General features: G+C 37.6%; 1 long non-coding RNA gene across 1 annotated transcript; it reads left to right on the plus strand.

The window, feature by feature from the left end:
- The first annotated feature begins 12076 nt into the window (after window positions 1-12076).
- On the plus strand, window positions 12077-13541 carry LOC105378094 (uncharacterized). The gene is made up of 3 exons (XR_943197.3): window positions 12077-12166; window positions 12475-12650; window positions 13178-13541. It is a non-coding gene; the product is annotated as an uncharacterized LOC105378094 (long non-coding RNA).

The following is a 13541-nucleotide window of genomic DNA, read 5'->3' on the forward strand; positions in this document are numbered from 1 at the left end:
TAAAAATACAAAGTCAGCCGGGCATGGTGGCGCATGCCTGTAATCCCAGCTACTTGGGAGGCTGAGGCAGGAGAATCACTTGAACCTGGGACGTGGAGGTTGCAGTGAGCTGAGATTGCACCACTGCACTCTAGCCTGGGCAACAAGAGCAAAACTCCTCAAAAAAAAAAAAATAATAATAATAATAATAATAATAATAATAAAATAAAAAAGTAGTGGTGACAATAGAAAATGACATTACTATATGTAGGTATCTGCCAAGTATGTAAAATGAGAAGCACTTTGAAATAATAGACAGTAGACTCTACTTGGTATTGTGAAAATAATGTGTGATAAGAGGTCCTGTGGATGAATTTTGCACTTGACATCATTTTGTACCTGGGAAAGTGATTTGATAAATAGAAACACTAAAATATGCCACAGTGCATTTTTATTTATACAAATAATTCACACAGTCTTTTTTAATTTGCAGAAAATCTCGACAATTAGAAAGTCTTCAGTGGAGCTGGGAAACTGAAAACTTTCCAGGGGAAGCAGAAACCCAGGTTCTGTTACTTTGCTTCTGGAGACTTGAGCTTTGATTGTAAGTGAATTCCAGCCCTCTTGGCAGGTAGGGGAAGGAGCCCGGGATACTCCTATATAGTCCTTATTTATCCACAGGCAAAGTACAGCCTGTGGAAAGATTTTCCTGAATTGCCTTAATTTTATGTTTTACCTCTGCTCTGAGGCCAATTCTCCTGTGGCTAAAAGAGCAGTTTACAATTCACTACCAGAATAACCTGGGCTTTCTCCAAAAATGGTCATGCCCAGTACATCTTCCCAGAGGAATTACACTGCTGTTACCAGATGATTTCAGCCAGATGAGAAAACAGTCTGCAGCCAAGAAATTTAGGTCAAAAAGTGCCCTGGTGAATACATATGGGGAATTTGAAAGGAAGACATGAAATAAATCTAAACATACAATGTTGTAGAAATAGTGTAGGGCATCACATTCACAATGGGGAGGTGATTTTGCCCCCAGGGGACATTTGGTAATGTCTAGAGACAATTTTGGTTCTCACAATTGGGGGTGACAATGAGGGTGCTACTGGCATCCAGTGGGTAGGAGCCAGAGATGCCACTAAACATCCTACAGTGGACAGGGCAGCCCCACAGGAAAGAATTCTCCAGCTCAAATGTCAACACTGCTGAGCTTGAGAAACCCTGTGTCAGAGGAAGCAAAGTAAGTTTGGATTCACGGAACAAATGTGCCAATGAGGAGTCTGCATGGATTTTTATAGATTTGTGAATTTGCAGGGGGCTTTTTGCATAGCTGTCTTTTTGCAAAGAGTTCATGGCACTCTGACCTGAATCTGGGGTGCAGGTGAGAAGGGAGACTGTCCCATGTGAAGCACTATTTGGGGCAGGTACCTGAGATTTTTCCAGATGTCTGTAGTGATGATGGCTGGACAGGTGGAGCACTCTCACTGCTGGCCCAGGAAGGACCACCCTGCTGCCCCAGTCCTTTGAACACACCCATGTTTGGGGGCAAAACATGGGCTGAGACCCAAGCAGGGCTGAGACACAAGTTTATGGCTGTGATTGTGTGATCCCAGGTTGGACTAATCAGAGTGTGGACCCAGAAAATCTGAGACAGTTCTCAGTTAATTTTGAAAGTTTATTTTGGTAAGGTTGAGGACACATGCCCATGACACAGCCTCAGGACATCCTGACGACATGTCCCCAAGGTGGTCGAGGCACATCTTGGTTTTATACATTTTAGCGAGACATGAGCCATCAATCAATAAATGTAAGAAGTACATTGGTTTGGTCTGGAAAGGAGGGACAACTCAAAGCAAAGGCAGGAAGACTCAAAGCAAGGAGGGGGATTCCAAGTCACAGGTAGGTGAGAGACAAATGGTCACATGCTTTTGAGTTTCTGAATAGCCTTTTCAATAATTAAATTTGTTTTTCAAAATTTTGTAAACAACCGGTAACATTTTAATCTTGATCATAACATAAACTTCCATAAGCCTTTTATAATCTTTATAACCTTTATTAAGGAACTGGTTAATGTTTCAAGAAAACCTTGTTAATCTGACACAGGAGTCCATATGCTAGTCTTGCATCAGTGTGCCTTTGACATTAATGATTAATTTACAGAGAAACAACTTATTTTCTCTCTTAAAATTGGCCCTTATAATCTCACATGCCCACCTCTTCCATGATAGTCCCTGGGCCTTGAGGAATTGAATGGCTTTAATTTCTGGCCCTGTATCTCAGGAATGCAGTTTATTTTGATTGGCATCATCTATGATGCCAATCAATAAAGATGAAACTTTGACCAGGCACGGTGGCTCACACCTGTAATCCCAGCTCTTTGGGAGGCCAAGGCGGGCGGATCACCTGAGTTTGGGAGTTCAAGACCAGCCTGACCAACATGGAGAAACCCCATCTCTACTAAAAATTCAAAAGTAGCCAGGCATGGTGGCACATGCCTGTAATCCCAGCTACTCAGGAGGCTGAGGCAGGAGAATCGCTTGAATGTGGGAGGTGGAGGTCGCAGTGAGCCAAGCTGGCACCATTGCACGCCAGCCTGGGCAACAAGAGTGAAACTCTGTCTCAAAAATAAATAAATAAATAAGTAAATAAAGATGAAGCTTTAATTGCTGTCAGTGTTTAAGATTTAGCAGGACTTGGTGTCCTTTATAGACCCAGGAGGCAAAGCCCTGTAACTTAATGTCACGAGTACTTTAAAAGCACATACAGAAAGGCACACAGATGTAATAACCTTAATTTAAAAAAATTTCAGTCTCAGTTTTTTCCTAAGCAAACCAAACTTAATAATAATAGCATAGAAGTTATTTTGATAAAACATAAAATCTGTTAGGCCAGTTACCAAAAGGCAAAAGAAAAAACTTCTGTAGTATACAGAATACTATGTTGGAAGAAAACATTTCCTTTAGACCTTTAAGAAAACATGCCCTTTAAAAGGGGAGAGAAAGCCGAAAAACCTGGGATGCAATAAAAGTTGAACTTTTGGTTAAAAAAAATTAAAATCTCTTGTAATTTATTAAGAGTAAATCAACCCTTAAGAAAACCTCATTGTTCTAACCAATAATTTAGGGTATAAGTGGTTTTTTTTTTACATCAAGCCCAGTCTCTAGGAAGATCATTATAATTTCCCTTTGATTATAAACAATTTGATCACATAAAAGTTATTTTTTTTAAATAAATCCTCTTATTGTGACTTACACAGACCATTCATGACATGCCTGGACTTTCTTGTTTGTCCTGAACATCCCTCTTTCTTAAAAAACAAGTCATTTTATTTTAGACTAAATTTACCATACAAGATTCTTTCTTATATGAAATTATTCCTCTTTAAGCTTTCTTTCTTTTTTTTTGAGATGGATACTTACTCTGTCACCCAGGCTGGAGTGCAGTGGCACGATCTCAGCTAACTGCAATCTCTGCCTCCTGCGTTCAAGCAATTCTCATGCCTCAACTTCCAAGTAGCTGGGACTACAGGTGTGCACCACCATGCCTGGCTAACTTTGGTATTTTTAGTAGAGATTTGTTTTGCCTTGTTGGCCAGGCTGGTCTCGAACTCCTGACCTCAAGTGATCCATTCACCTCGGCCTCCCAAAGTGCTGGGATTACAGGTGTGAGCCACGTTGCCCAGCCTAATATAACTTTAGATTCTAAATTATGACGAGTTTGTCTACAAGTATTTATCCCATTACATTTACCTAATTATTTTATTTTAATTGTTTTCCTAGATTATTTATGAAAACTGTGATAGTCATGATTTAAAGTTATGAAACCACCATTGTAAAATTATAACTGAGACAGTGAAAAAGATATGACCTAACTGACTCCATCTTGCTTCTAACCTCCAAGCTGTCCTTGTTCATTCCTGGACTTTGGGAGGAACTTAGTTTATAGTTTAGCTATCAAACAAAGACAGTAACACTCCTTTTCCAAAACAAACCTCCTTACTGCCTGTGGACTAGACTGCTTAAAGCCACAAGATTGACGTTATGGTAATTTTACTAAATAATTCAAGATGTAGCTATTTTTTAAACCAATATTAATGTTTTATTTATTAAAAGTAACACAAACAAGGATCATTCTGTCTTGTGCTGGGTTTATAGTTTTGTAACCCCTGTGCCAAGTTTTGACACAGTATCCCTGACAGTATTTGGGAGGGATAAGTATGAAATTGCTTGATTAATAAATGCAAACAGAAATGTATACTGGTAATTCTTAAGACGTTTCTAATATTACTTTACCAATAATTTTAAAGCTAGCTTATTTATTAAATATTTTACTTAAGTCACATAAACTTGAAAAAGCATTTGACTAGTCTTTCCCTTTTCTGATACAGTATTTAAATGCCTTTATTTTTCTTTAAGCCAATTAATTAGAGCTCTTTTATATATTTTCAGTAGTGAAACATTGTGTACACCACACATAAATATAGGTGTACATCTTACAGATTCATAAAGACCCCCCCATTTTTTCCTATCTTAAACTTCCAGGTTCTTGATAACCTGTTTCACAACCTTAGGCAGTTGTCAGCTAAATAGCCTGAAATTTGCATATTAAAGGAAACAACTCAGGTAAAAATCAAATAGCAAAATTTACATAAGGTACAAAGAGAAAAAGCCTGGTGGTGTTAGAGGGAGATTAAAGGTGGATGCTAAATCAAACATAAAATTATAGAAATGTATCACAGGATTGCATGAGAAGACCAATTTTATTTAGATAGGGACTTCCTATCTTTTAACTGGATCTCTGGGCTCTGGGCAGAGCCTATGCTGAATCCTGGGTTTCCAAAAAGGGAGAATTATTTTGAGGTTAGACTCTGTGATGTTTTTACAGTGCACTTAAAAAAATTTTTTTTTAAGTGTAATCCCAGCACTTTGGGAGGCTGAGACGGGTGGATAACGAGGTCAGGAGTTCAAGGCCAGCCTTACCAACATGGTGAAACCCTGCCTCTACTAAAAATACAAAACTTAGCCAGGCGTGGTGGCATGTGCCTGTAATCCCAGCTACTCAGGAGGCTGAGGCAGGAGAATTGCTTGAACCCAGGAAGCAGAGGTTGCATTGAGCTGAGATCGTGCCACTGTACTCCAGCCTGCGCAACGGAGTGAGACTCCATCCTAAGAAAGAAAGAAAAAAAAAAAAGGACATAGTCCCAGGAGAGAAAAAAGAAAAACAAAAACATGAAGGCCTTTTAAATACAAACACACACATACACACACACATACACACACACACACATCTTGGATGTTAGCTTTTAATTAAGCTGATTTTTAACCATTGAGCTTCTTTTAAAAAAATATTTTTAAATCTCATTACTATATTTCAGCTGGGACAAATTGCTGCTATTTCAGAAGCACCAATGTAGGACTTCCTGAGTTTTGTCACAGGTACATCCTTAACCTTGGCAAAATAAACTTTCTAAATTGATTGAGACCTGTCTTGGATACTTTGGGTTCACAAATTGGTAATCATGAAGGGATTGTGAGTGGAAGGGCCCCTGACCTTTGACAAATCTGTTGTTGCTTGGTACCAGCTTGAGCTATCCCTATGGCTCAAACCAACAGGAAAATTTGCTGAGGCCTAGGCACCCCCTCCCTCCAGGGTATCACTGTTCTCTCAAAATTTGGTCAAGTTCTGAAGTTTTTTTTTGCTATGCAAGTACTTTTGTGGAGTTTTGCTTGCTTCCAACAATGAAGGCAAGTTTTCCTGCTTCATGATGATGGAAGGCAGGCAACTCTTTTCTGGACTTGCAGCTCACTTCCAACAGGCAAGGCAAGTTTGAGTTTTTCTCCTGTTTCTAGGATGGTAGAGAGCAGTCTTCAACCTGGGACCCATTCCTAGGTAAGTAGCTGAATTGTTCTTTTTTTTTTTGTCTTGGAAATTCTTCTTAATCACTAAAGTCAAGATTCACAACCAGCTAGTATTAATTACGCCTTACCATTAGAGCGCTCAGTAATCGTATAAATTGTGCAATTGTTTGTTTTGCTTAACTCTTTTGTTGTTGTTGTTTATTTGTTTCTGTTTTGTTGTTGTTTTGGTCTTTTTCCCATTGGGTTTGACCAACTCCATCCAACTTGATCAAATCCAAAGAAAAGTTTCAAATTATGGGGAACAAGTCCTCTGAATTGGCTACATTCCTGCAGCTGGAAAAAAAAAAGGAAAAAGAAAAAAATGGCCAGCAAAAGGGAAAAAAAGGGAACGATTTTTGATTTTGACTGCCCTAGGGGCTTTATTTCCATAACAAGGCCACGTTTTTGCTAGCCAAGCCACACTGAAAGAGAGCAATGGCTGTTGCCCCACTGCAGTTCAATAGCTTAGTTCTGCCCTTTTTTTCCACTACTACAGCCTGGGTTTGGTTCCTAAATCAAGTCCTTTTCGGTTTGATATTTGTGCTACTTTTGAAATATCAGCAATTTGGCCCAGCTAAAATATGGTAATAAGATTTTAAAAATTTGTTCTAAGGAGCTCAGTGGTTAAAAGTCAGCTTAATTAAAAGCTAATATCCAGTGTGTGTGTGTGTGTGTGTGTGTGTGTGTGTGTGTGTGTGTGTGTGTGTGTGTGTGTGTTTATTTAAAAGATCTTTTTTTCCTCTCGTAGAACCTTGTTTTTATAAGAAAAGTTTTTTTTCTTTCTTTCTTCTCAGTTGACCGAAATCTGTTTTCTACGTTAACTTTTGCTGCCTCTCCTTGCTCTTGACACGTTGCTACATGAGAGACCTAAAACATTTTCTAACAGCCTGTGATTCCTTAAAGAAAGCAGAGAAGGTGTCAGACTCCCCTTTGGGGTGAAACCTCTGTTTTTTATTTTGGAACCCTAAAAGTGTAAACAGACAAGTTCATCCTATATCTTAAATTCCTTGCTTTTGTATTGTGTTACCTGATGTTTTTTTTTTTTTTTTCTGACTAAAATAGTTACTTCAGCAGAGTCTACTCTTGGGTGTTTTACTTAAGGAAGAGTGTAGTTTAGACACTTAGAGAAATGTCTTTATTAAAAAATAGGTACACTGTAAAAGCATCATGTGTTCTAGTCTCAAAAAATTATATGTTTTGGGAGACACAGGATTCAGTGTGGGCTCTGCCCAGAGCTCAGAGATCCAGTTAAAAGCTAGAGACTAAATTTAGAACTACCTATCTAAATAAAATTGGTCTCCTTATACAATCCTATGATAGATTTCTATAGTTTCATGTTTGATTTGGCATCCGTTCTTAATCTCCCTCTAGCACATCAGACTCTTTCCCTCTGTACTTTGAGATGTAAACTTTGATATCTGATTTTTCCCCCAGGAGCTGTTTCCTTAATATGCAAACTTAGGGCTACCTGGCTGACAACTGGCTAGGATAATAAAACAGGTGTAAAAAGTAAAGTAGAGGTTCCTCTTCAAAGGCTTTCCTCCCCATCTAATTAAGAATAAATAGTAACTTCTCTTAGAAGCAAAATTTATTCAAAGGCCTGTGCTAACATTCTTAAGTATCTGTTAGCCGTAATAAGGAAATCAATGTACTTTATGTTCTTAGCTCCCACAATTTAGCCTAAGTATTTGCCCTGGCACGCTTATACTGGTCCAAGCAAGCATTAAGTCATAGCCTGTTCCTCTTCCATATTTGAAGGTGTTTTTACCTTTCTCAGCATTCCACAAGTTACTTCCTCCTTCCTTTGTTCTCCTCTGCCTTTGCCTCTTTTAAAAAGTTGTAAGTTGCTAGCCAATCAGGACAAATACAGAATGTGAGGTCCCGTTCCAGCTGATGGAAACCAGGCACAGCAGTAAGGTGGACATGTCAGGTTATAAATGACCCTGTCTCCTTTGTTCGGTGTACTCTTGTGGCAAAACTGCTGGCGAGTGTACCCTTTCTGCACAAAGTAAAAAAAATGGCCTTGCTGAAGAAATTAAATTTATGTTCAAGTGCTATTTCTTTATAGCACCGAAGAACAAACATTTCTAACACAGGTTATCAAGAAATTGGAAATCTAAAATAGGAGGAAAAAATAAGAGGGCTTATGAATGTATAAGATCTACTTTTATCTGCATGTCTAATACGTCTATGTATTTATGTGTCGTGTATATGAGATTTCACTACTAAAAAGACATAAAAGAGCTCTAATCAACTGGCTTAAAGAAGAAAAAAAAGCACTTATATCGAATACCTTATCAGAAGAAATGGAGACTTTAACAAAGGCTTTTTCAAGTTCATGTGACTTGAGTCAATCTTTAATAGATAAGCTGATTTTTAAAATATTGGTGAAATAGAATTGGAAATGGCTTCAAAATTGTCAATATACATTATGGTTTAAATTTACTGGTCAAGTATTTTTTTTTTTTTTTTGAGACGGAGTTTATGCTCATGTTACCACGCTGGAGTGCAATGGTGCAATCTCAGCTCACCGCAACCTCCGCCTCCCAGGTTCAAGCGATTCTCCTGCCTCAGCCTCCTGAGTAGCTGGGATTACAGGCATATGCCAGCTAATTTTGTATTTTTAGTAGAGACAGGGTTTCTCCATGTTGGTCAGGCTGGTCTCGAACTCTCAACCTCAGGTGATCCGCCCGCCTCAGCCTCCCAAAGTGCTAGGATTACAGGCGTGAGCCACCACGCTCGGCCTTGGTCAAATATTTTTATATTTATCTCTGCTAGGTGTCAAAATTTGGCAGGAGGTTATAAAACTATGAACACAGCCTGAAAGAGAATTATCTTTGTGTACAATTTAACAAGTAAGACATTTAACTCTGTTTAATGAAAACAGCTAAATCCTGAGTTACTGGCAAAACAGAAAAAAAAAAACACCTCATTTATGTAACCTTAAGATTTTCTTAGGAAAACCTTAAATTCACAGGCTATAAAAATAGTTAATGGGGAAATAACTTTAAATTATAACTATTGCAGTTTTCATAAGTAACCTGGGTAAACTATTTTAAAAAATTAATTAGGTAAATGTAATGGCATAAATGTCTGTAAACTTGTCACATAGTTTAAAATCTAAAGTTACATTAAGTTAAATAATAGAGTCTAATTAAATGTCTAACTTCCAATTTTTAAAAAATTATAGGAAAACATTTTTCTAAATGTGTTATTAAATGAGAATAATTTTTATCTAATTCAGAGATTATTTAAAATTTATTTATGATGGCCAAGCACGGTTTCTCACGCCTGTAATCCCAGTACTTCAGGAGGCTGAGGCAGGTTGATCACTTGAGATCAGGAGTTCAAGAACAGCCTGGCCAACATGGTGAAAACCCGTCTCTACTAAAAAGACAAAATTTACGTGGGTGGGGCAGGCCTGTAATCCCAGCTACGTGGGAGGCTGAGGGAGGGGAATCTCTTGAACCTAGAAGGCAGAGGTTGCAGTGAACTGAGATCGCACCACTGTACTCCAGCCTAGGCGACAGAGCTCTCGAAAGAAAAAGTTATTTATGAGACAAGGTACAAAGTAACCAGTAAATAAGAGCAATATAAAGAAAGTTACAAATGTAAAGAGGTTTTTTTTTTTTTTTTTTGGCAAGAAAGGTTAAAAGGAAAATAATTTTGTATGCGAAAAAATCTTGTATGGCAAAATTTTGTTCTAAAATAAAATGACTAGTTATTTCATTTTCTTTTTTTTCTTTTTTGTTGTCTTTTTTCTTTATTATTTCTTTCTACTATTTTCTGCTGGCAGGAAGTGACTGGTTATTTAAGAAAGAGGGATGTCTAGAATGAAACAGGAAGCCCAAGCATGTATAAATGACTTGTATCGAGTTTTCTATAATTAAAGGGAAATTATTTATAATAGCGTTTCTAGAGATTGGGTTTGATACAAAAATACACTTATACACTCAATAATTGGTTAGAACAATGACATTTTTAAATGTACAGATTGACTCTTAATAAAATTACAAGAGATTTCTTTTTATTTTAAACCCAAAGTTCAACTCTTATTGTGTCTTGCTGTTTTCAGTTTTCCCTTCCCTTTGAAAAGCCCTGAGATAATAACTCTCTCCTTCAACTCATTATCAGCTCCTGGAATTTTTTTTCCTCGGGTTCTAACTATTTGTTATAGTTTGATGCTAAAAATGTTTTATCTTAAAGTTCAAAAGGAAATGTTTTCTTCCAACATAACATTCTGTGCTTCTGGCTTTAAATTGTTCTATGAGTCTGAAAATTTGCACTTATTACCCAGGAAACACTCTTCTTATGTCTAACTAATTGAAGTACTCTTTTCATTAGTTTTGACTTGGCAGGTTACCTAAATGGATTCCCCAGAGGGAACAACAATCGCACTGCAGAAGGTCTTCTCTTTGCCTTTTGGTAACTGGCCTAACAAACACATTTTATGTTTTACTGAAATAATGGCTACGCCATTGTTATTTAGTTCTGATTTTGCTTAGAAAAAAAAACTGAGGTTTTTTTAAACTTAAGTTTGTTACATCCATGTAACTTTCTGTTTTTTGCTTTTAAAGTCCTTGTGCCATTAAGTTACAGGGCTTTGACTCCTGGGTCTAAAAAGGACATCAAGTCCTGCTAAATCATGAACACTGAAAGCAGTTAAAGCCTCGTCTTCAGACCTAGTAGAAGATGCCAAGCAAAATAAACTGTTCATAAGACACAGGGACAGAGGTTATAACTATTCAATTCCAGGAACTGCTGTGGAAGAAGTGGGTACCTGAGATTGGAAGTGCCAAATTTGAGAGAGAAAATTAGTTCAGTTTCTCTGTAAATTAACCATTAATATTGGAGACACACTGATACGAGACCAGCATCTGGGCCCAGTGGCAGATTAACAAGGTTTTCCAGAAGCATTCACCCACTCCTTAATAAAAACATTGTAAAGTTTATTAAAAATTTATAGAAATTATATCTTACAGTCAAGATAATTAAAATTTAATAAATTTGTTTATAAAATTTTGAGATACATTTTAATTGGCCTCATGCTATCTTTATTAAGGCTTATTGTTTGGGAAATTAAGTCTCCTCTCTCAAAAAATTAAGGTTTTTTTAACAAATCTTTGAGTTATTACTTTGGCTAAATGAATGACTTATTTTACAGTGACCTGTGATCCTATTTTGTGATGTGAACTGTTTTAAGCATTTTTTTTTTTTGAGATGGAGTTTCACTCTTGTTGCCTAGGCTGGAGTGCAATGGTGCGATCTCGGCTCACCGCAACCTCCACCTCCCGGATTCAAGCAATTCTCCTGCCTCAGCCTCCCAAGTAGCTGGGATTACAGGCATGCACCACCATGCCTGGCTAATTTTCTATTTTTAGTAGAGACGGGGTTTCTCCATATTGGTCAGGCTGGTCTTGAACTCCCGACCTCAGGTGATCTGCCTGCCTTGGCCTCCCAAAGTGCTAGGATTACAGGCGTGAGCTGCTGCGCCTGGCTTTTTGTTGTTGTTGTTGCTTTGTTTTGTTTTTTGAGATGGAGTCTTGCTCTGTTGCCCAGGCTGGAGTGCAGTGGTGCGATCTTGGCTCACTGCAACCTGTGCTTCCTGAGTAGCTGGGATTAGAGGCGTGTGCCACCATGCCCAGCTAATTTTTGTATTTTTAGTAGAGACGGGGGTTTCACCATGCTGGTCAGGTTGGTCTCGAACTCCTGACCTCGTGATCTGCCCATCTCAGCCTCTCAAAGTGCTGGGATTACAGGTGTGAGCCACTGTGCCCGGCTGAAACTTTTTATGTTTGACAAACTTTCGCAAATCAGATTCAAACTTTGGTCCTCATTAATCTTTTGATATTAGATCCCCTGAAGTCCAAAAGAGACATATTCAAGTTATTTGATATAATAAAATCATACAGGAACTATTGTCAAATATGAAATGGCATTTAACCTTCTTTGGATTATATTTATATGAGTGTGTTATTAGTATGTGTTTCAGAATTGTATGAGATTGTTGTGATTCTGATATGTCCTAGTATATATTATCAGTAGTAACTATCATTATGTAAAATTGTTATATGCCATAGAAGTAACCAAATTTCCTTGTCAGTTGTGTTTAAAAGACTGTTTTAAAACTTTTGTTATCCACAGTTGTTGTACTCATATCCTTTTCAAAAGGTGGTTTTATAATCAGCTACAGGACTCTGACAGGTGCTCTCGAAGGCAGGTGTTTAATAACTTTGGAGACTGTGACACTAGAATAGAGGAAAAACTTCCAAGACTCTCATAGACAGGTAATGTATTCAAAAACATTGAACAGAACAAGAGTTAACTATGTAGACTAAACTAATGGAAAACTGAAATAATCTTTTTTTGACTTGTTTTGAAACATTACTAACTCTTGTTTCTGAGTCCAGAAAACCCCTTTGAACTATTTACAGCTTTTAACAATTGGGTTAACTACACTCCCGTGAGCAAAATCTAAAGCATATTTCTTTCTACCTAATTCCTCCAAATTTGAAAGCTATTTGCAAGCATACTTAATTTGTATCAGTATAATTATTTGCATAATTCAATAATAATCTGTTTTCTTTTGTAACAGGATACAGTTGAGGACAATGGTAATTTAACCAAGTCTTTGACTGGAGTTGCATACTTTCAGATATAAAGAAACTGCTTTAAGGGATCAGAGTTGACTTAGAAAGCCAATAAAAGCCCCTTTGGAAAGCTGGCCTCCTACCTTGTCTACCCAGTTCTTGTACAGGTTTCTGACCTGTGGTAAGTGAAGAATGTCACTTTCTGACAGGCCCAGGAGCCCCAAATTATCTTGGGAACTTGGTGAGGAGTTCACCCAATTAATACAGGTATTTGCAGGCACAGATAAATCTGTGGCTGGGCTCAAGTCTTGGAAGTGTAATCTGAGATTCCCTATGAACAAAGTTCCAGCAAAGCCAATTAAAAAAATAAAAGAGACTATGTGGCAAATAATTATTCTTGCTGACTTTATGCAAACAGTCCAAGCATAAAAAGACTAACGCTTATTTTACACATAAATTTGTCCTATTATTTGTCATTAGTGAAAACGGGTACTAGAGAAAGAAAAATTATATTTCAAAATGAACTATAGTACACCTGTTATTAGATTCTAGTCTCGCCTAATGCTTTAAAGTTTCCTTTGTTTTCTAGTTTGGACTGAATTTTAAAATTTTTTCTGGCTACAAGTCTCCAAAATAATGTTTTCACTTTTTTCCCTTCTTTCCTCCCTGCCCCTCATTTTTCTTGATTTGAAACTACTAAAAATTAAGCTGTGCCTTCTTAAAGGCTGGAGCCTGGAGCACATGAGGAGAATTCACAGAAGTGCCTGGAAAGGGAACTGCGGTGGATCTTACAGAGACTTGAAACATGTGGAGAAGTTTGGCTTTTATTCATAAAGGACAAAGTGCTGCCTCCACCTCCCCACCTGTCTAGTTTTATTCAGTGATGTCTATCCTCATGACTTGGGCCATTTTCATCATCACGTCTATTTGGTTACCTAGGTCTGCCGTTTTTTGTTTTTGTTTTTTCCCAAATGCTTTCCACATAAGATGGCCTAGGTGTCAATTGCTTATCTCAGTGGAATCATTTCTACTCACCTATAAAATGGGAGTAATAAAAATGCTATGTATCCGA

Source organism: Homo sapiens, chromosome 6 (genome assembly GCF_000001405.40).
Source record: "Homo sapiens chromosome 6, GRCh38.p14 Primary Assembly".
Classification (NCBI taxonomy): Eukaryota; Metazoa; Chordata; class Mammalia; order Primates; family Hominidae; genus Homo; species Homo sapiens.